At 36.0% G+C, this 23,973-nt stretch overlaps 1 protein-coding gene across 8 annotated transcripts in view; it reads left to right on the top strand.

The window, feature by feature from the left end:
* Positions 1–23,973, top strand: part of PDLIM5 (PDZ and LIM domain 5) — a 216,282-nt gene that overhangs the window by 101,884 nt on the left and 90,425 nt on the right. For 4 of the 8 annotated variants that reach the window (NM_001256426.2, NM_001256427.2, NM_001011513.4 and 1 more), the window contains exons 4-5: positions 19,526–19,568; positions 22,118–22,209. In NM_001256426.2, coding sequence (NP_001243355.2) covers positions 19,526–19,568; positions 22,118–22,209 — 135 coding nt within the window. Of the gene's footprint in view, positions 1–19,525; positions 19,569–21,790; positions 22,210–23,973 lie in introns of all 8 variants that reach the window. The other 4 variants (NM_006457.5, NM_001256428.2, NM_001256425.2 and 1 more) reach the window with 2 other exon arrangements.

Raw genomic sequence — 23,973 nt, forward strand, 5'->3', positions numbered from 1 at the left:
TCCACAGAGAGTATTATATGGCCATGTCATTGGAGGATGAATAAATTTGGTAAGCTTGTGGGAAATGTGAAAATATTTTCTGAAATACATTTTTAAAAAATCTCTTCTTTCACATTGTCAGTATATTTATTTACACTGTTCCAGTGTTATCTTCACAGATAATTTGTCTTTGAAAAATGACTATATCATAAAAGTCTTTGCCAAGAACGAGCTATTCATCCTGTCTTTTGTTGTTGGACTTTATAATCTTTTGTTGTCTTCATATAATTTTAATCATTTTATTATTTAAAACTAGTAAATTGGTTTTCTTTGCATTGTCCTTTTCCTGAGTACATGCAGTAATCCCTTTTGAGGCCATCTTCCATCCAGAGACAATGAAATCATTTGAGTTTAAGTAGCTTTTCAAGCTAATGCTGTTGTTTTCCTTATTGTCTGTTAGCTTTTAAAAACATTTATCTTTAAGAAAATATTTAATAGCTATTTTCTGTTTGTGAAACAGTTACACATATATTGAAAAACATTTGGAAGATACAGAAAAAAAGAAACTCATCTGCCCTTTAGAGAAAACAAGCATATTTTGATAGATATCCATCTAGTCGTTTTTCTCTTCATATGTACTCATTTATATATGTATATACATTCGTACGTACATACGTTCATACATATATATAAAGACACAGATTATACATTCTTTCAAAACATACTTCAGGAAGATAGGTGTGAACAAGAGAGAAATGGTACCTGCTGCCATGCAACTGCCACACTAGCTAATAAAAGAGCTATTCAGTATACAATCACGTAATTATAATTTTGACAAATGCATATGATATAAGAGCATGAACAGTTTTAAGGAATGAGTAGCATTATCAAATTTGTGAAGAGGTTTTATCAATTGTTTTTAAAGTTTGCTGTCATAGTATATAACAAAATACCTTTGGTATCTGCAATGTGTGTACAGATACATTCTATATCTATATATATCTGTATCTGTGTATACCGAATGGTCCTCAATTTACAAAGGTTGACATGAATTTTTGACTTTACAATGGTGTGATACCATTCTGTTTTTCACTTTCAGTACAGTATTCAATAAATAACATGAGATATTCAATACTTTTTTATAAAATAGGCTTTTTGTTAGATGATTTTGCCCAACTCTAGGCTAATGTGAGCACATTTCAGGTAGGCTAAGCTAAGCTTTGATGTTTGTTAAGTTAGGTGTGTTAAATGCATTTTTCTTTTTTTGAGATGGAGTCTCACTCTGTTGCCCCAGCTGGAGTGCAGTGGTGGTGATCTCTGCTCACTGCAACCTCCGCCTCCCGGGTTCAAGTGATTCTCCCGCCTCAACCTCTTGAGTAGCTGGGATTACAGGCACGCACCACTATGCCTGGCTAATTTTTATATTTTTAGTAGAGATGGGGTTTCCCCGCCATGTTGGCCAGGAGTCTTGAACTCCTGACCTCAGGTGATCCGCCTGCTTTGGCTTCCCAAAGTGCTGGGATTACAGGCATGAGCCACCTCACCGGCCTAAATGCATTTTTTACTTATGATATTTCCAATTGAATATGGGTTTACTGGGACATAACCCCATCATTAGTCTAGGAGCATCTGTATATACATGGAGAAAAACTTATTCTGCAATGTATGTAAATTTGTCAAATGTTATTTCATTATAGATTTGTCATCTAGTAGAATTGAGTATTAGTGTGAAGAATCCTTGTGCTTTTAACTTTAGTTTATAACCTTTTTCATTTAAATCTTTTATTTCAGCCACCACTGAAGTGCCAGAATAGTGAGATAAATTGTTAATAATGAATTTCCCCATGAAAGTACCATATAATGATTGTAACATTGAAAAGATTCATATGGTAAATACATGGATATCGTGTGCCAATTCTATGTTATTTTACTAACTACAAGGTATAGGTATAGGGTAAGATAATTTTCATAGATTTCTTCATTTAATCTTGGGAATAACCCTGTGAGGTAGGTGGTATTAACCTCTTTATAGATGAGGAAACTAATTTAGGGAAGTTAATTAACTTGGGCAAGTTTATTTATTTATTTTTATTTTTATTTATATATATATTTTTATTATACTTTAAGTTCTAAGGTACATGTGCACAACATTCAGGTTTGTTACATATGTATACATGTGCCATGTTGGTGTGCTGCACCCATTAACTCGTCATTTACATTAGGTATATCTCCTAATGCTATCCCTCCCGCCTCCCCCCACCCCACAACAGGCCCCGGTGTGTGATGTTCCCCTTCCTGTGTCCATGTGTTCTCATGGTTAAATTCCCACCTATGAGTGAGAACATGCAGTGTTTGGTTTTTTGTCCTTGCGATAGTTTGCTGAGAATGATGGTTTCCAGCTTCATCAATGTCCCTACAAAGGACATGAGCTCATCCTTTTTTATGACTGCATAGTGTTCCATGGTGTATATGTGCCACATTTTCTTAATCTAGCCTATCATTGATGGACATTTGGGTTGGTTCCAAGTCTTTGCTATTGTGAATAGTGCCGCAATAAACATAGGTGTGCATGTGTCTTTATAGCAGCATGATTTATAATCCTTTGGTTATATACCCAGTAATGGGATGGCTGGGTCAAATGGTATTTTTAGTTCTAGATCCTTGAGGAATTGCCACACTGTCTTCCACAATGGTTGAACTAGTTTACAGTCCCACCAACAGTGTAAAAGTGTTCCTGTTTCTCCCCATCCTCTCTAGCACCTGTTGTTTCCTGACTTTTTAATGATCACCATTCTAATTGGTGTGAGATGATATCTCATTGTGGTTTTGATTTACATTTCTCTGATGGCAGTGATGATGGGCATTTTTTCATGTGTCTGTTGGCTGCGTAAATGTCTTATTTTGGAACATGTCTGCTCATATCCTTCACCCACTTTTTGATGGGGTTGTTTGTTTTTTTCTTGTAAATTTGTTTGAGTTCTTTGTAGATTCTGGATATTAGCCCTTTGTCAGATGAGTAGATTGCAAAAATTTTCTCCCATTCTGTAGGTTGCCTGTTCACTCTGATGGTAGTTTCTTTTGCTGTGCAGGAGCTCTTTAGTTTAATTAGATCCCATTTGTCAATTTTGGCTTTTGTTGCCATTGCTTTTGGTGTTTTCGTCAGGAAGTCCTTGCCCATGCCTGTGTCCTGAATGGTATTGCCTAGGGTTTCTTCTAGGGTTTTTATGGTTGTAGGTCTAACATTTAAGTCTTTAATCCATCTTGAATTAATTTTCGTATAAGATGTAAGGAAGGGATCCAGTTTCAGCTTTCTCCATATGGCTAGCCAGTTTTCCCAGCACTGTTTATTAAATAGAGAATCCTTTCCCCATTTCTTGTTTTTGTCATGTTTGTCAAAGATCAGATGGTTGTAGATGTGTGGTATTATTTCTGAGGGCTCTGTTCTGTTCCATTGGTCTATATCTCTGTTTTGGTACCAGTACCATGCTGTTTTGGTTACTATAGCCTTGTAGTATAGTTTGAAGTCAGGTAGTGTGATGCCTCCAGCTTTGTTCTTTTTGCTTAGGATTGACTTGGCAATGTGGGCTGTTTTTTGGCTCCATATGAACTTTAAAGTAGTTTTTTCCAATTCTGTGAAGAAAGTCAGTGGTAGTTGGATGGGGATGGCATTGAATCTATAAATTACCTTGGGCAGTATGGCCATTTTCACGATATTGATTCTTCCTATCCATGAGCATGGAATGTTCTTCCATTTGTTTGTGTCTTCTTTTATTTCATTGAGCAGTGGTTTGTAGTTCTGCTTGAAGAGGTCCTTCACATTCCTTGTAAGTTGGATTCCTAGGTATTTTATTCTCTTTGGAGCAATTGTGAATGGGAGTTCACTCATAATTTGGCTCTCTGTTTGTCTGTTATTGGTGTATAAGAATGCTTGTGGTTTTTGTACATTGGTTTTGTATCCTGAGACTTTGCTGAAGTTGCTTATCAGCTTAAGGAGATTTTGGGCTGAGACGATGGAGTTTTCTAGATATGCAATCATGTCATCTGCAAACAGGGACAATTTGACTTCCTCTTTTCCTAATTGAATACCCTTTATTTCTTTCTCCTGCCTGATTGCCCTGGCCAGAACTTCCAACACTATGTTGAATAGGAGTGGTGAAAGGGGGCATCCCTGTCTTGTGCCAGTTTTCAAAGGGAATGCTTCCAGTTTTTGCCCATTCAGTATGATATTGGCTGTGAGTTTGTCATAAGTAGCTCTTATTATTTTGAGATACGTCCCATCAGTGCCTAATTTATTGAGAGTTTTTAGCATCAAGGGCTGTTGAATTTTGTCAAAAGCCTTTTCTGCATCTGTTGAGATAATCTTGTGGTTTTTGTCTTTGGTTCTGTTTATATGCTGGATTACGTTTATTGATTTGCGTATGTTGAACCAGCCTTGCATCAACTTGGGCAAGTTTATTGTTGTTAAGATGGTATTGAGACCTACGTCTTGCTTGGCTGTAAGTAAAATTCATGCTGTTCTTTATTTTCTTGATATTGTGCTGTCTCTTTGTAATGGTGAAGTGGAAATTATTATAGCCATCTCTCAAATGAGCAGACCAAGGCATAGATAAAAAAGGCTAGCATTTAATTGTGGTAGAATGGGCAATAAAATAGTAGTCAACCTATTCTTGCTGAATTTCCATTTTCCTGTCTACATATGAGTGTTCAACTATATTAAAGTCTGTCTTGAGGTATCCTAAGGTGGTGTTACAGCAGCCCAGTAGAGTACATTCTGAGTTTTCTGCCTATACTTGTACTTCAACCAAAGAAGCTTTGCTTTTATTTGTTTTATATACTGAACCTTGAATTATATTCAAGTATGACTAAGGATTATAATACTAACATTGTTGGGGGATAAAAATGTCGGCTTTCTGGTTTTTCTTGTTGCTTTTTTTTTTATTCTAGCTGAAATAATAAATCAGTTCCCTATTCCATTTTTCTGTAAAATGAACTGTCATGATCTCTTTTGTGTGTGTGTTGCAGGGAGGGGGGTTAGTAAAAAATTTAATCATAACTAAGTTATGTAAGTAGATGATCTTAAATGTTTTTAATAAAACCATGTGTTGGGTTACCTTTAAAAGTAGTTATGATAATTTTTTTTTGTCTAAAGCATTTCAGTTATAGCAGTCATAAATTTAAGTTGAGTAGGTTTTTATGCTCATTATTTTTGGTAAACTAAGGAAAATATAGGATAAGGATTTTGATTAGCCTAGTAAGAAATTGTGATTAGTTTCACATCGACCAACTTACTGTTTTCTATCATGAAACCTGAAAAAATAAAAAAGATATTATTATGATTCTTTGATTTCTCAAGCATTTTCTGAGAATTTTGTCAAATTTCGGAAACTAGTTTCTTAGTATCCAATTTTATTGAACATAGGCTACAGCAAGTATCTAGGTTATAACAGATGTTTTTGGTGGCTCTGAGATGGAAAGTTGTAATTATATGAACCAGACCTTCTATCTAGTGCTATTTTTACAAGGCTGCTCTGTTGCCAAACATTTCTTCTATAGCTCTGTCTTCTTCTAGCCATACTCATCAATATTCTAGCACATTTAACTGCTGATCTCTTTAGAACTCACGTAAGGCAGAGATTCAACAAGAAGAGCAGTGAATCATGCTACATCTTGTTTTCATTGGAACACTAAAGCATCAGCATATGCCAGTGTTTGCTTTGGGGTAGGTTTCCCTAGAAAACAGAAGATCAGTAAGATGCTAAATTGAAATTTTATGTGACAGACGGCTGAAAACAAGGCCATGGTTGAAAGCCAAACTCTTAGATGTTGTGCATGTCGAAACTGGAACAAAGATTATAATGCAAGTTCAATTTTCCTCAAATATGGATCTCAACATTAATTGTGGTATGCAGCTCACCCACAGCCTTGGGTGTGGTCTATGAATGCAGCTGCTACTCTGTTCTACAATTATTGTATTTTATTGCCATTATGACTGGGCCTTTGGGTTATAACCATTGATGCAAATGAAAAAGGAAGAAACATGTTGGATACACAGTAATATACATGTTTTTGGCATTGGCTATTTGTGTCATCTTAACTGTTTTTATTCATAGAACTTAATAGTTGGAAGCACTTGTAGAGAAAATTTTAATATGTTGGATTTCTTTGTGGGGATTAGGAGCAAAGCTTCTTCTCTGGCCAGCCCGTGACTGTTTCTTATCTATGTGGACTCCATTGCCAATCATTGTGGTGGTTTAGAAGCATCCAAGGTCCACACTGTCCCCTAAACATTGCCTTTGGGGACAAATGCATGTAATTCTAGGTCATGGTGAGCCTAGTTGTTGTCCTTGTACCTAGGATTCAGTGAAGGGCCTGGGGGGAATTCAGAAAAGGAGTCATTGAGTTCACCTTGGTGATTGAACATGTAACTGCTTTCTCTTTGATTGAACTTTACAGAAACTAATGTAGCTGCCACCAAGACCTGGATTGTTGCTAATTGAGAAGACTGTTTAGAAGACAGGTGGACTTTAGTTTCACTCTAGGAACTTAGCGGTGATTTTATATATTATGGATAATTTGGACCTGAATTATTTCATTTCTCATTATTCCCATACTCTCCCATTATTATGGCAGCCAATAACTGACATTTTCTGGAATAAGTCTGGTGAGGTAGCTTTCACAAAACAATATTAGGTTTAGTGTCCTGAGTACCTTATTGTTATTACCTTATAAATCCCTTGTTATTACTGTTCCCATCTTACAGGCAAGGAAACTGAGAGGTTAAGTAACTTGTCCCAGGTTGAACAACTAGTAAATGGAGGTGCTAGGGTTAGAATCTGGGCAGTCTGCTTTTAGCTCTGGAATACTGGACATTTTTGAGGCTGTGTTATACTTATCAAATTAACCAGGCTAAGACTTAGATGTTTGTTTTGTTTTGTTTTGTTTTGAGACGAAGTCTTGCTGTTGCCCAGGCTGGGTGTGGTGGTACAATCTTGGCTTACTGCATGCTCCACCTCCCGGGTTCACGCCATTCTCCTGCCTCAGCCTCCTGAGTAGCTGGGACTACAGTCGCCCGCCACCACGCCCAGCTAATTTTCTGTGTTTTTAGTAGAGACAGGGTTTACATCGTGTTAGCCAGGATGGTCTTGATCTCCTGACCTCATGATCCGCCCGCCTCGGCCTCCCAAAGTGCTGGGATTACAGGCTTGAGCCACCGCGCCCAGCCAACTTAGATGATTTTTAAAAAATGTACCTATGAGTTGCTTGTCTTTGAAGTCAGTATTAGTGTCGGGTTTATTTGGCAGTCTGTTCTGAGTTCCTTCCACCTCGTTACAAATAGTATACTCCTGAGAAAAATAAAATAATTAGCTAATATAGACAGATTTTCGGAATGAGGAAGAACACTGCATGATACAGGCTGTGTGATAGTGGTATTATTCAAGTTCCCTTGAGCTTGAAGAGATCTTGTGGGCCAATTGATCCTTCCCTTCCTCAAGAATCCCTGATACAGTGATACAGCTTATTCCAGTTAGACAATGCTAATTAAGGGCAAGTTTTTTGAATTAAAAACTCACCATCAGTATTCAGCAAGAACATTTTAGAAAAGCAGCCAAAAGAGTTACAAAATAGTTCTGGGAGAAACGGATCATTATCTTGAGAGGAGTCAGTAACTTCGATGCTAGAGTTATATGCGTGCTTTTTCGTTTATCGTAGTTTTTTAAAGATCACAGCATGGAACATGTGTTTTTTTCTATGCACTGGTTGTTATCCTTTGCAAGGTCTCAGATCTTTCTGTGACTCTAATAAAAGAGGAAATTAATATGACAGGATCTCCTATTCTCATTCTCTGGCAGTCTTTTAGGGGATCCTTGGAGCCAAAGTAAGGAAGACTCAGATTAGAGGTTATGTTTTTCTCCCACCAAGGAATCTAATACTTTTCAGATTATTTATCTTAAGAGATAGGCATCAGTGTCTGGCTTCTTCACATTTTTAGTCATCACCAAAGAGGGGAAATCTCTCTTGTCTAGTTCAGTTTTATAAGCACTTGCTACAGGATGTTATTGTTGGAACAACACATATAGTAATCCATGGTCAGCATAATCATGGTCAGCATTTCTGTTCTTCTTAGTAATTTTGATTATGTCAGAAGCAAATTTGGTGGCAGTGAGCTTTGCAGACATGTACTAGCCAGAGCTCTGTGTTAATTGTGTTGTTGGTAGATCTGCTTATTTTATGTCTTTGAGGATATCATTGCGTGCAGAATTTTTTAAAAGTTAAAATAGTTTAATAGTATTTTATGAATGGGCTTTTTCACTGCAATTCAGTGGACATTTGTTTGTGACCCCTATTAACCAGTCATCTTGTTTATTATGTGGCCTATCAGGCCTCCAGACCTTTCTGAGAGCTCCACCTTTGAGTCAAGGTTGGTGTTTATCAAACTGAGGCTTATATATTCAGTTTTTTTGGGTCAAGACCAGCATCCTTTCCCCCAAGCTAGTTTGTTTTTGTTTTGCAAATAAAAATAATATATTTTAATAGGTTCCACAGGAAAATATGTATGTTATTGCTTCATACTTGTATTAGGTAGATAATGATACAAAATGTATTTCTGATACCCACTGTGATAAAAGTGTGAAAACAGTTTTCCAGGTCAGTGCTATTTAATCTGTGGGTCCTGGACTGGTACCAGTCTAAACTGTTTGTTCCTGGTCTGTAGGGAGATAAGCACTGAAATTGAGAATAAGCATTTAGGAACTTTTGTAGCAATTTCACATTGCCACAGTTCTCAAGGTTTTTGTTTAGTGGATTTGTCCCATTGAACAAGTATAGTCCAGTTTGGGTGTTGAGATTCCATGATGTGAGTAACATACGTTGTGACTTGTGTATGTTCAGCAGCATTTTAGGTCATTTCTTAATCTATTAGATTCAAAGAGTGGTGGAGAGAGGGTGCATTAATTCTCTTGGGAATTTAAGAAGCTTACCTTTTGGTAAATTAGACATAATGTGTTGCTAATTGGCTGTGGTTTCAGTTTTTTAAACTGTAACATAGAAAAGGTATCAGAAGAAGAAGAATATAATTTATGTTTTCTATGGTTCCCTTGTTAGAAAAAAAGATACTAATACTTTAATACTGAAGAGCTTTGGGATTCTAATTTGCTTAAATTTTCAACAAAATCCATTAAATTATCAATCAGTAATATAAACAAGTCTTCTATTATAAGCAAAATTCAGTTTTCTATAAACAAAAATAAAGATTATTAATAAACAGTTGAATGAGTTTCAGTTCTGTGATGGTATAAATGTGAGATAAATCACAAATAATATAAGAAGTTGTAAAAATAAATATTTGAAAATTTAGCTGGCTTTTAAGTTCCTATTTTTAGATGTAGATATTATTATCACTTTGAATGCCTTGACTTAATTTAATAATATGAGATTTAGTGATAAGGATGTTGGACAAGATTCTACTTATTAATGAATGTGAAATTAAAGGCTCATCTTGAAGTTATTAAACAAGGATAGACTTGGCCTATGTATGGCTAAAGTAGCCACATTTGATCACTAATTTTTAAATTCCTTGATTCTTATGAATAACTCCAGATTTTTAAAAATATCTAAACTCACCCAAAGTTATTTTTTAAGTGTTACGTAACTGGAAAAAGCTAAGTTGAGATTGTGAAGAATCTTCATTTCATGTGTTCTACACAGAAGATAGCAGACTGACTTTGTTTTCCTAATAAGGCTGTGTTGAATGCTGGAATACTTATCCCCTTAAATTTTATTGAAATACTTTAAAATACTCACTTTACAAAAAAGGTTTGCAATTTAACACGTTTAGCCTGGACAGGAATAGAAAAAGAGATGTGCCTCTGGTATTAGCATAGGACAGGGTGCATATAAAGGTGAACCTCAAATAGCATGTCTCATACTTTGAAAAGATGAAAGACAAATTAGATATTTTGTTGTTTTCTATTTGTGTTTTGTTCATCACAATATATTTAAGATTTGGGGCAGTTTTTATTCCTTCTCTCTTCCTTTCTTTTAGTAAGTAGGCTTGTACAGATCATTTATTGCTTAACACTGAGATTTGGATTTAATCTTCTTCCAAAATGAAGTACTGCATTTAGCAATTTTTCTTTTTTTTTTTTCTTTCTTTCTTTTTTTTTTTTTTTTCTGTTTTGAGACAGAGTCTTACTCTGTCTCCCAGGCTGAAATGCAGAGGTGCAGTCTCGGCTTACTACAGCCTCCACCTCCCAGGTTCAAGCGATTCTCCTGCCTCAGCCTCCTGGGTAGCTGGGACTACAGGCGTGCGCCACCACACCTGGCTAATTTTTGTATTCTTAATAGAGACAGGGTTTCACCATGTTGGCCAGGGTGGTCTAGATCTCCTGACCTTGTGATCCACCCCCCTTGGCCTCCCAAAGTGCTGGGATTACAAGCATGAGCCATCGTGCCCGGCCTTAGAAATACTTTTCTATCTCACTCAGAATAAAAGACCAATTCCTTGTAATGGGTTCATGTACTTTATGTGTTCTGCCCCCAGCCATCTCTGCAGCTTTATCTCTCACTGCTTTCCCCAGCTTTTCCTGGAACCTTTCTAGCCCCACTGGTACATTCCTGCCTCAGGACTTTGCACTTGCTATTTGGACTGCCAGGAATTCCGTACTTCAGGTTTCTGTTCAGAGTTCACCTCATTAGAGAGGCCTTCTCTGACCCTTTTGTATAAAATAGTGTGTCCTTTCCTGTGTCTTGCTTTATTATGCTCCATGGCACTTACTACCATGTGAAATATTTTGCTTGTTAGTCTGCCTCTCTCAAATGGATGTAAGCACCTTCAAAGGAGGAATTTTGTCTCTTTTTTTTTTTTTTTTTTTGACAGAGTCTTGCTTTGTCTCCCAGGCTGGAGTGCAGTAGGGCCATCTCAGCTCACTGCAACCTCCACCTCCTGGGTTCAAGCGATTCTCCTGCCTCAGCCTCCCAGGTAGCTAGGACTACAGGTGAGTGCCACCACGCCCAGCTAATTTTTTTGTATTTTTAGTAGAGACGGGGTTTCACCGTGTTAGCCAGGATGGTCTTGATCTCCTGACCTCGTGATCCGCCCGCCTCGGCCTCCCAAAGTGCTGGGATTACAGGCATGAGCCGCCACGCCCAGCCCGTCTGTTTTATTCATTACCATTGCCCCACCTCCTACAACAGAGCCTTCTGTATCATGGGTTTAATAAATATTTGTGGAACTAATTAATAAATTAATGAAATAAATTGTTTTAAGGAAAAGACACAGCATGAGTGTTGCCCTTGAACTTGAAGTGATGCTGGGTAAAATAATTACCAGTTGGGAATGATAAGTTGATTGGTTAAATAATTTCTGGTAATGCAGAAGGCCATATTAATCCTTACAGGATAAACAGGTTGACAGGAGCTAGATTTTGACTATAATATAAGGGTGTTTGTTTGTATGTTTATAAAAATACAGGCTGATTCAAAAAGAGCTGAACACGATAAAAAATGTATTATTCAGTGATTAGGTATATATGCAGTTATATGAATGTGTAGTCAAAACAAAATTAGAAGGAACCATCGTAGTTATTTCTGTCAATCTTGCATGCTCAGTATGCAGCCCCCTGTATCATGGGGCACACATCAGTCCTGAAATCTAATTCATTCTGTTATTGGTAGCATGTCACCATCGATAGTTGTAATGGGGACCATGATGCCACTTCCTTTATTTTCTCAAGACCCACAAGAAGATTATGTGATGTGGTATCTTGGGATCTGCATGACTACTAATGTCAGAAGCTGGTTACTATTTTAAATAGAACACCCAATTTAGCACCAGAGAAGGTATTCACTAAGGAACCTCCAACCCCATCCTGCTGAAAAATGAAATTATTAGAGATTTCCTGTTAGTATAGGGAAAAAATACTCCTCTTTTCTGGAAAAGTAAAGAACAATGGACTGAAACCTGTTCTTTGTTTTTGCATCTACTTACTGAACTTTCACTGGGAATTTTGTGAAGAACTTAATCTCTTATTTATGTGCATATTGTACAGTCTGTAAAGTGTTCACTCTATAGATAGGCAGATATATTATGTATCTGTATATATTGAATACACATAGACATATATGTATATATTATATACAATGAGTAACTTCTGTGTTTACTTGAATTAAACCAAAAATGGCATTCTATAAACATGTCATTGAAAATGAATAGCTGTTTGTTAATAGAAAGTAGTTATTCATTGTTTGGAGCCATTACTCTCTGAAATTCTTTACCAAAGTTATTTTATAACTTTCTCTTTGATGTTATTCCAGAAGGCAGCCAGAAGGTAGAATGTTAGGGCTGCATATAGGCTTCTGGACCACTTGGGTTCTAATCCGGCTTCTGCCACTTTCAAATTTAAGTTTTGGTCAAATTAGCCTATTTGGGCTTCTGTTTCCTATATTTAAAATGAGAACATACTACTTTGTCAGGAAGAATAAATGAGATAATTTATATGATGGGTCAAGTGAAATTATTGGCATTTGGTAGGTACTCATTAAGTGATATTTTCTTGCTTATCTCTAGGTTTTTTTGTTGTTACTGTTTTCCTTGAAATTGATCCTGTTAGTAATTTGATTCTAATAGTATATAATCAGAAATAGAATAATTTCCAGAACTCCAGAGTTTAGGTCATCTGCTTACGGGGAAGGTGCCTTCTATCACTGCTTACTTTGTGTCAAGCACTCCACCAGATATGTTACATACATTACCTCATTGCGTCCTCAAAACAGTTCTGCAAGGGAGGTATTATGACCCTCATGTCAACAAAGAAACTATATGTTGCCTAATGCAACCTTTATTCAGCTATTTGTTCTATTCCTCAAAGAATTCCTGTATCAACAAAGAGCTTCGTAAGAGAAGGCCTGAATATGAAAGGCGGGAACTCTGTCTCTTTAGGGCTCTAAGCTTTTCTTGAAAGGAAGAAAAAAATAAATAGTCAAACTTCAGATTATGAATTGTGCTTGCTGATACTACTATTATCCTGTATATGACCCTCATTCAGCATCTGACCTTTATGAAAGTTTTCCGGAAGCAGTTAATTTTATATACATTGTTTAAAGCCTGTGAAAAAGAATTTTGAATATGGTTCTGTTATTGATGCTTATTCTCCTAATATGAATCTTAACTATATTTGGTGGTTTTTGTTTGTTTCTTTGTTTGTTTTATGAGACGGAGTCTCGCTCTGTCGCCCAGGCTGGAGTGCAGTGGCACAACCTCGGCTCACTGCAAGCTCCGCCTCCCGGTTCACGCTGTTCTCCTGCTTCAGCCTCCCGAGTAGCTGGGACTACAGGCGCCCGCCACCACACCTGGCTAATTTTTTTGTATTTTTAGTAGAGACGGGGTTTCACCGTGTTAGCCAGGATGATCTCGATCTCCTGACCTCGTGATCTGCCCACCTTGGCCTCCCAACTGTATTTGTTTTAAGGGCATTTTAGTAGTGTCACAAAAGAGCCAATAAAATGTAGACTCTTAATTTTTCACAGGCAGATTATTTGCTTTGCAAGTTTTATTACTTTTATATTAGTAATGAAGTACTGTGTTGATAAAAATATATTTTTTATCTACCTGATTGAAGTTGGAAGAGAAAATCTATCAAGTAGAAGTAATTACTTACCATTGGACCTTAGTAAGTTTTCAGAGAATGCAATTCTAGTACAGATTGATTTTTTTTTTTTTCATTCCTAAAGATAGTATAGTTCATGACTGTTAAAAAATATAGAGTTTTGGTAGAAAATAATGGGAAAGAAGGGAATTATACTTGTCAGTCTCTTCCCTTGCATAAAAATGCAGGGTGCATCCTTTTCACTTGTTCTTTTAGGATTTTTTAAAAAAATAATTACTAGTAGCTCCATTTATAGTATGTAGAAGCAGGGCTGAAAGAGGTTTTTAGCACTCTTTATCATTTATTAGCAAATGAACTGAAGTGCTGACTAGCAGAGTTACAAATAGTGCTTAAAATGTTATTCTAGTCCAATAATATTAAATCTGACCCTTCACCAAACTTCAGTATCAGTGCTGTGTGGTATGAATTTCATTTGAATGGGTGGTATGGAAGTTCAGATGGATCACCTAAACAGTTGTAAACAGTGTAAAAGTTTTGGGTAGAGGAGATAAGAAGAATTTAAAGGTAGTGTCCTGCAACCACAGAAGGAATAATACGTTTCACTTTCATTTCTTATATCAGTATCTGAACATATTATAATTAGGGCTTTGCATTGTGCAGAATGATTACGAGGTTTAGAGACCAAAAGAGGCATGGTCATGTAGAATTACGTACTAGAACGTTTGGTATAATAAACACCTTAACATGATCTAAACTAGAGGCTGTCAAATGATGGCTTACAGGCCAAGTCCTGCCCACCGCTTGTTTTTACTAAAGTTTTGTTGGAACACAACCATGGTCACTTATTTAGGTTTTGTCTGTGTCTTTCTACAGTGACAGAGCTGAATAGTTGAGATCATTTGACACACAAAGACTAAAATATTTACTGTCTGGCCCTGTATAATAAAATTTGCCATTTCTTAACAGTGGGACATATAGAATAGATTGTTTATAGAAACCCTTTATTGAAATGGTATTTTCACTGTAATGAAATTTTTTCCATAGTAATAATGAATTACTCTTAAATTTGAAATTTCTTTTATTCTTGAATACATCTAAAATTATGTAATCTCTTCATTCTTTCTGATATAAAAATTTTATAAATACTATTTAGAAAAATGGATTTTTTTTCTTTAAAAGATTCTGAAGTTATTTTTGAGTGTGGACATGAGGCACAATGGGCAAATAATTTTTTTCCCTCATAAAACTGTTACTATGGAAATAAATGTAGAATTACAGCAATAAGTTTTCTCCCTCTGGAATCAAATAGAATATTGTGAAATTTTGCACATAATTTGAAAACAGTTTTAAGAAAGATGTATGCAAATAAATTATAGGATATATAAAACACTTATTCTTAAAAATATGTCATATACTAATATTTTAAAATAAATGTACCTAAGGAGATAACAAGTTAAGTGTTATATCTTTGTTGGAATACTTTAGAAGATTGAGGCTTTGACCAAATGAATTTACATGGAATATCACCAGATGATGAAGTCAATTTGGGGTGTGCCCACAGTAATTTTTGTTTTGGACTTCTTTTTTTTGGCACGTTGAGTGAAATGACATCTTTGTTGATTCTTATTCTTCCATGACACGATTCTATATAATTTTGGATTGTGGTTACCTTTAGAGATGACCTGTACCTATATGGAATAAGTGCCCTTCCCACAAAATGGCCCCCTCCACAGTGAGGAGTTAGAAGAGAGGGTGATACTGGAAAGCCATTTTGCTTGGGTTGACACTGATTTTAGAAATTCAAACAATTTGTGCTGAAGAGCAAGGTCTTTGGAGAACATTTGGGATGATAACTAGTCTCCCACTCCAAACTGGATGAATGACTTGATAAAGTCATTTTACCCCTTCGTTTGTTTGTTTGTTCGTTTGTTTGTTTGTTTGTTTAGACAGAGTCTTGCTGGAGTGCAGTGGCACAATCTCGGCTCACTGCAACCTCTGCCTCCCAGGTTCAAGCAGTTCTCCTGCCTCAGCCTCCTAAGTAGCTGAGACTACAGGCACATGCTACCACGTCCAGCTAATTTTTGTATGTTTAGTAGAGATGGGGTTTCACCATGTTGGCCAGGCTGGTCTCAAACTCCTGACCTCAGGTGATCCACCCACCTCAGCCTCCCAAAGTGCTGGATTGATTACAGGCACAAGCCAGCGTTCCTGTCCAATTTTACCCCTTTGCATTTGAGTTTCTCATCTGTAAAATGAGAGAATGACACCTAAATCATGAGATTATTATAAATGAAAAATATAGTTATATGGATATGCGGTTGAGTGCCTGGCACATAGAATAAATTTAAGGTAGCTGTTAGTCTTTGTTTCCACTTATGCTACTTAAATTTAAATTTGCTTGAATTGCTTGCTACTTGACAAAATGCTTTCTTTCTTAGTGATTTTCAGGTATTTAAGTATTAATCATTTGAACTTTAAAATAACAAATTGGGGTGATATCACTCACGCTCTGCCCTAATACCCTCTTATTTTCTTCCTTTCTTCCATCCATTGGTTCTCTGGCTTGACTTTTATCTGGTTGATGAAAATTTCTTCTCAAACCCTAATAAACCTTCATGGCCACCTGAAAAGGATTATTGCAACAAAAGCACTCACCCTACTTACAGAATTATTATAATTATAATTCTTAAAGAAGTATTATAATTAGATATATTATAATTAGATATGCTTAGAGAAGTATTATAATTATCAAATGGTAACTGCCTGTTCTGGATATATATCAGAGCCACACTCAAATTTAAAATCAAGCACAGGCACAGAGGGCCACTGGTACTCACATGGGCTAAAGCAATTCTGCTGCTTTTGTCTTTTTTCCTTCTTTCTTTGACTCTTCAAAAAGCCTGACCAGCTTTGGGTTATTTCTTTCTCTCTGTAGGAAAAAAAGATGTACGTATTAGTTCCTATAGTAAGATAGAGAAGATGCAAAGAGGGAGAAAAGGAGTGAGTGTGTGAGTGAGTGCATGTGTATGTGAAGAGTACAGTCTTTTATAAGCCACAAACTGTTATAATATGCTGATATATAACTATTTTGTACTTTTGTTTATAGGAAATAGAATCTTTACATAATCTCAAACCATTTAGAAAAACCTAATACATTGCCATAGTGATTTAAATGTTTAAGGTTTGAGTATTTGGAACAGTAGACTAGCTGAATATGCAATAAAGTGTGAGGAAACTGTTTAGAAAGACATCCTTCTGCACTCTTGAGTGCTCACTTTTTTCCTTCTAGAGTTGCTTTGTTATTACAGATTGACAACTTTGCAATTAAAGTGATTAATGATGTACCCTAGTGTTTATGGGTCCCAAGGTCAGTGGATCCAAAGATGGCCATGCTGTGGGAAACTTAGACAAGAGCTCATCTCATAGAAGATGAGGCAAACACCCTCCTTTTTTTCTGTGTGATTGTTTACGAGTTAAGTATATTAGATGCTTGAGGGAGTCACCAAGACATAATGAGTAATGTGCATAATCTTTATCATTCTAGTTCTATTGTCTAGTTCCTCATTCTTAAACACTAATGCGAACATTCAGAACCTTATTAACTAAAAACCATGTTATTTTATAAAGCAGTTTTAGGAAACTACATTAATTAGTTAAAAATATACCTTAAGTATAACACTGCATTGGGTATTCAAAAGATGCAGTTTAGCTTGATTCATTTGCATCTAATTCTTGATAAGACTGCTGTTTATTTGTGGCATAATTTTTCCTATACATTATTCTAACCGGTACATCACAATTTTAGTTTTTAACATAGTCAGTTATCACTTAAAACTCCTTTCAACTGTTCAGGTAGAGGTTCTGAAACTGGTTATAATGCATCAGGGATTTTTATTTTGGATACTACTTTTACAAAAGTCAATCAACTTCAAATAGATTGTTCTAGCCACATTGATGGCTTTGTTCTTTGAATTTCATGAACTGAGGATACTACTGGGCTGAGGCACTGGTATATCACCGTCGTGGCTTACTCCTGAACAGTGGCTTCACACCAAGGAGGGTGAACAATAAGAAAATTGTTGACCCCATAGCACAAAGCCGTTGCCAAGATCTCTCTCTGCTGGTTTGAAACTCACACTACACAAAAGTGACTTGTGATGATCACTGCAGTTCAAAGGGGATCTGTTATCCCATTGTATATTTGCCAGGATTTGAAGAGAAAATGTAGGAAGAATTTTTTTCGTAATTATACCTCAATTTTTTAAACATCCTTTAAAAATTATTGTTTTTATGTAATCTATGACATTGTTAAAGTAAAAGATGCTCAATATTTGTCGAAAGAAAAGGAAGACAATTACAACAATTCTAATTTTGAGAAATAGGTTTCCTTATTCACTGGAATCCACTGTTCTTTACTTGAACTTGTTTCCTTTGCTCATTATAATAACCCTACAAGCTAAAAGAGAAGTTGTCTATTAAATAGTACACATAGAAGGTTGTGCAACTGCACAGAGTGTAATCTGTATTGCAGTAACTGAATATTAACATCCATTGCTACCTCTCATTAGGTTAGCCAATTCTCAGTGCTTGCCATAGCTAACCAAATTAACTGTTTTTGGAAAATTCAGTTGCTGCTAAAAATGTTGATCAGAGTTCATTATTAGATTATACTCATAGAGACCGAATATCCTGTGCTAGTGTCTTCTGTTTGTGATCTGTTGTCTTTAAAGTAAAACAAGCTCATGGTTTATAGCTTAAAATGATCATCACTTAGTATTTACCTGCTATGCTTACATTTCTTGAATTCTGTGCTTGGTGTGTTATCCTCCAGCTAGTGTGATATGAGTGGAATCAAATTGCTACTGGCATATTAAACATAACATATACCTTAACACTAAGTAAATAGGCTTTAAAACATTAGAGGCTTTCCCAGTCATTTAGTTCCTGTCCATGAATACAAACAGTATATTGTTATATTTAACAGTGGTGGGCCTCAGCTCCATCTTAAGCAATTTACCTACACTTCTTTTGAAGTTTCTTCTCTGAAAAATTAGGATAACCATAGGTTTTACTTGGATATGATTAAGATTATATGAGATAATTGCTCCAAACCAATTATTGTTACTGTTGAGCCCATGCTAACTAAAGGCACAATAATAACATAGTACAAAAAACATATATTTAAAATGAAAATTAATTTGAATTTGGAAATAGTCAAGTTATATACATGGATTTTTGTCTTTTTCTTCACTCTCTCTTTTCCACACTTATTACTGATGACCTGTTACATTCCAGACACTGTGCTGATACAGACACAGATGGGGCATGGTCATTGCCTTCTCTGAAATTATAGTCTAGTAGAAGGACCTACAGTTTACTTTTAGCAAATTAAATGTATTAACTTGCATAGACACTTAAGAATAGGAATACAGAATAAATATTCATTCATTGACCCAATTCAACTAGAATGTATTCAGCATCTTCACAGAGACCCAATATCCTGTGGATGTTGTTCATGGATGTTAGGAGAAAAGACAGATACTGTTGGAGATAGGAGTCAGATTAGGTGGTTGAGGAGCCACTCAAAGATCAGAAGGTCATGTTTATTATACTTTACCCTTTTAGGTGGGGGGTATCCTTAACGATTAAACACGGGTGCACTCACAAACAGGATTGATGTTTGTCATTCCTCAGCTGAATTTGTAGAGAACCAGAGACTGCTATTGAATACCTAGTGTGTAAAATGTTGAATCTTGCAGCATTTGACTTACATGAATGAATTAGAAGATTGTGAATAGTAAAAACTATGAATTATGAAACGATACATTCCAGTGATTCAGTATATTAAGGCTATATTATAATAGTAAAAATTCCATTAAGAAGTCTGCAAGTTTATAAAAATTCATTATTTTTTTTTTCTTTTTCTTTCTTTTTTTCCTCAGAGCATCTGCTGCACCCAAGCCTGAGCCGGTTCCTGTTCAAAAGGTGTGTTTTTAAGCTAGCACCCAGAGTATCACTTGATTGTCCTTGCTGAGCTACTGTAATTCCCATTACTGTCTCAGACCATACTGACATTCATTTAATTTATAGTCTCAGTACAATTTTCCTTGTAGTTCTTTTCCTTCAGAGATGAGTAGGGAAATGGAGATCAGCACATACCATTTGTAATTATACATGTTATAAAACATTATTTCCAAAGCCATATGTTACAATAACTTATGTCAGATTTCTTACATTTCTATTCACTTTTGATGAGCCCATCTTTATCCAAATCCTTATATTTTCTAAAGAGAATAAATAAGTGGTTACTGAAAATTAATATCACAATAAGTCTTTAATAACATTTTATTAATAAGTGCTTAATTACATTTCAGAGTATTCTTAGGTTATTGGCAAGTATCCCTCTTCTTGCATATATGTCTTCAAAATAATTTCAAACCATTATTCATATATATCTGTTTTATGCTTTTGGGGGCTTTCTCCCTAATTTTATCTGTGCCTATTTATTGAACTACTTATTATACAGATTGAGCATCCCTAATTAGAAAATCCAAAATGCTCCAAAATCCCAAACTTTCTGAACACTGACATGCTCACATGACCATTGCAGCATTTCAGATTTTGGATTCTTGGATTAGGGATGCTCCTGCATTCTACAAAGATTCAAAAATCTGAGAATATCTGAAATCTGAATGCTTCTGGTCCCAAGCTGTCTAAATAAGGGATACTCAACCTGTATTGATTCGTGTGGGCACTAAGCTACTTATTTTTCTCAATTAGTTTTCTTCTTCCTATAAGATGAATTGAGGCTGCGCGCGGTGGGTCACGCCTGTAATCCCATCTTTTTGGGAGGCCGAGGCAGGCGGATCACCTGAGGTCAGAAGTTTGAGACCAGCCTGGCCAACATGGTGATACTTCATCTCTATTGAAAATACAAAAATTAGCTGGGCATGGTGTCACGCATCTGTAGTCCCAGCTAGCCAGGAGGCTGAGGTGGGAGAATCACTTGAACCCGGGAAGTGGAGGTTACAGTGAGCTGAGATCACACCACTGCACTCCAGCCTCAGTGACAGAGCAAGACTCCTGTCTCAAAAAAAAAAAAAAAAACAAGATGAATTGAGATTACCTTTTTTCTTAAAATTAAACAGTAGAACCACCATTGTATGATTTTTCAAAAATTTGATTTTTTCTTTTGATATGGTAGGGTGGAATAGGGATTTATTCTTGATCTGAAGTCTAACGCTCTACCTCTGAGCTATCCCGCCTCCTGGGATTTATTCTTGAATGTTGTAGAAGCTTAGTCTGATTTTGTTTAACTTTAAATATGCTTTGGAATAAGGATTGGCAAATAAAAATTCTGGTAATTTTAGGAGGAATTGACCTTTCTTACTAGTTGTTTTTTCTTTGGCTGCTGACGATGGGGAAATATTGAAGATTTTTTTTTCTTCATGTAACTATTAAATATTTATTTTGGAAAAGGAAAAGAATTTTATTCTATCTCTGAATCATATCTTAAAACATTCAGAGAGAGAAATGGAGGTGGATTACAAGAAAGAAAGGATTTTGTTTTATTTGCTTTTTTAAAGTTTTTTTTTTTTTTTCAAATTCTTTAAGATTATTAATTAGAGTTTGCACATTCCTGAGTTAGGTGAAAATTATCTTATTCCCTGTGTTTTTTGTTTTTTTAAACTTAAAGAGTTAGAAATGTGCTGCTCCTTCTGCGTGAAACAAATGATTCCACTCTGGAGAGAAATGAAACATGTTTGAAAAATGGGACTATGGGCTTTGAAAGATGGAAAGATGGGCTTTGGATATTTTAACATAAAAAACACCTCAGTTAGCAATGTTTTGTTTATTGTAGGGTATTTAAACATTTTTCCTTTGGAATATGCCTAGGTTGACACTGATGAGGGGCTTTAGGCTTTCTGATAGTTTTCCTGCTGTATTTCCGAAATATTTTGAAACTACTTTCATTTTTATTTTTAAAAATTATACCTAATGTGTGCATCTGTGTTATGCATGTTGGGACTAGTTAGCATGCACGTTATGCTTTATCAGCCCATTGTTTTTATCTGGAAACATGATGTTTGAGCTGCTAACCTGATTGTGTTTGTCTTTTAAAAAATCAGCTCTGTGTTCTTTTCGGTGAAATATATTTTGCATGTGTTTGGTGTGGTTTTGTGTATGTTTATTTTTGTTTTACATAGGGAGAACCTAAAGAAGTAGTTAAACCTGTGCCCATTACATCTCCTGCTGTGTCCAAAGTCACTTCCACAAACAACATGGCCTACAATAAGGCACCACGGCCTTTTGGTTCTGTGTCTTCACCAAAAGTCACATCCATCCCATCACCATCGTCTGCCTTCACCCCAGCCCATGCGACCACCTCATCACATGCTTCCCCTTCACCCGTGGCTGCCGTCACTCCTCCCCTGTTCGCTGCATCTGGACTGCATGCTAATGCCAATCTTAGTGCTGACCAGTCTCCATCTGCACTGAGCGCTGGTAAAACTGCAGTTAATGTCCCACGGCAGCCCACAGTCACCAGCGTGTGTTCCGAGACTTCTCAGGAGCTAGCAGAGGGACAGAGAAGAGGATCCCAGGGTGACAGTAAACAGCAAAATGGGTAGGTGGCTAAGGTGCTTTCTGCTCTTACTAAAACTCTTCTTTCAGGTAATTTCCAGGAAATACTCTACATTCCTCTCCCCCAAAACCAACTTTCTTTGAAGGAAGGGAGATGAAGTATTATTTGCCTCATTAACATATGGCCTTTATATACATAGGGTACTTTCTGCAAAGCAATTATCACTTATTCAAAAGCTACTTGTGCATTTTGACATGTTCTGAACCATGTAACATCTCTGTAACTCATTTTTTGTAAGTCCCGACACAGCATTGAGCAGCTGGCACTTGTAATGCAAGGCAAATCTTGAATCTTTCTTCCTCAATTTTTTCATTCTTTTAAATAGGCCACCAAAAGTTCAAACAGTGGTTACAGTTGCTGTCACCTTACACAACTCATCGTAAGGAGAGGGGAAATCATGAATTTGTAAGGGGTTTTTTTTCTAGGAGGTAATCTTAGGAAAACCAGTCCGCTTTTGACTCATGTCTATATGTGAAGCATTAGCTTAGAGCAGAGAGCTAACAACATTGTTTTCAGATAAGTTTAAGTTAGAATTTATTCTTTAAAAGCAGACAGTAATGAAACAACAAGGCACGCTTAGAAAGCATTAGAAGCAAATTATAAAATACTTTCATTGTAAACGTTTTCTGAAATGAGTAAATTTAAGCCATTGGACACTAAACATACATGTTAGCAGAACACTTTGAAAATCTGTTTCTTATCGTTTTTCCCTTTTGGGGGTATCTTTTTATTAAAAAAATTGGTTGAAGTTATTAACTTATTTGAACTACACATAGTTATAAGATCACACATCTGTTTTTCAGCAACCTTCAATTATTTGTTTATTTTTTTTTAACACTTTCGGTTCAAATATAATGTTATCAGATAGTCAGAAATTTATGTTGAGGAGCAAGGATTTAAGTTGGCCGTGAGAGGTTATGTACAGTATCTTTTTTAAAAATAATTCTTTTCTATAATGTAATCCTACTTGCAAAGAAAAAAGTAAAGAAAAGAGAGAGAATAATGATGGTCATTTTATTGCTTTTGGAATTCAGGGATGATACTTTAAGGCAGTCATTTATGTAAAATCATTTTTATCAGATTTATTGTGACAAAAATGTACCTTAAAAGGAAGACAAAGGGAAATAGTCTACAGGCCTGATGGTTTTTACCAATGCCAGTTCCCAGGAAAATATAATTAAAATACTTGTGTGGATAGGTCCATTCTCTGAGATAATCCCTTCTGAATGTTAATTCCTGTAATGAAGAGGCTGTGCTTTCTGTAGCACTGCTGCCATGGCAACTTTGGGGCTTTGAAAGAGAAGGTGGCAAAACTCCAGGCTGCTGCTGAGAGAGGGAGAGCAGGAGCTCTAGAAGAACAGCTCCTGGGCTGTACATACGGTCTTGAGGTTGTGGGTGGCTTTCTAAAGTTCTGATATATATATATATATATTGAGGAAAACTAGTATCCTTCAAAAAAGAATGTTATTGTTTCTTTCATGTGAGGAAGAGAAACAGTATGGAGTGTTCAGGAGTGTTTGGTCGTAATCTTTTTTTTTTTTTTTTTTTTTTAGTATGTTTATTTTAAGACAATAGATTTTCGAGTAATCAGAGTAGATATCCTGCAAAGAAAGATGCTGTCTGTCAAATGCAAGCCACACAGAAGACTAAAACAGAAGTTTACCATGTTTATTAAATTCCAAGTTCAGTAGAAAAACATCCATTGAAGGAAGTGTCTTAACTAAAATCTTTTCTACTAGTGCTTCT

The sequence above is a fragment of the Homo sapiens genome, chromosome 4, assembly GCF_000001405.40.
Source record: "Homo sapiens chromosome 4, GRCh38.p14 Primary Assembly".
NCBI lineage: Eukaryota > Metazoa > Chordata > Mammalia > Primates > Hominidae > Homo > Homo sapiens.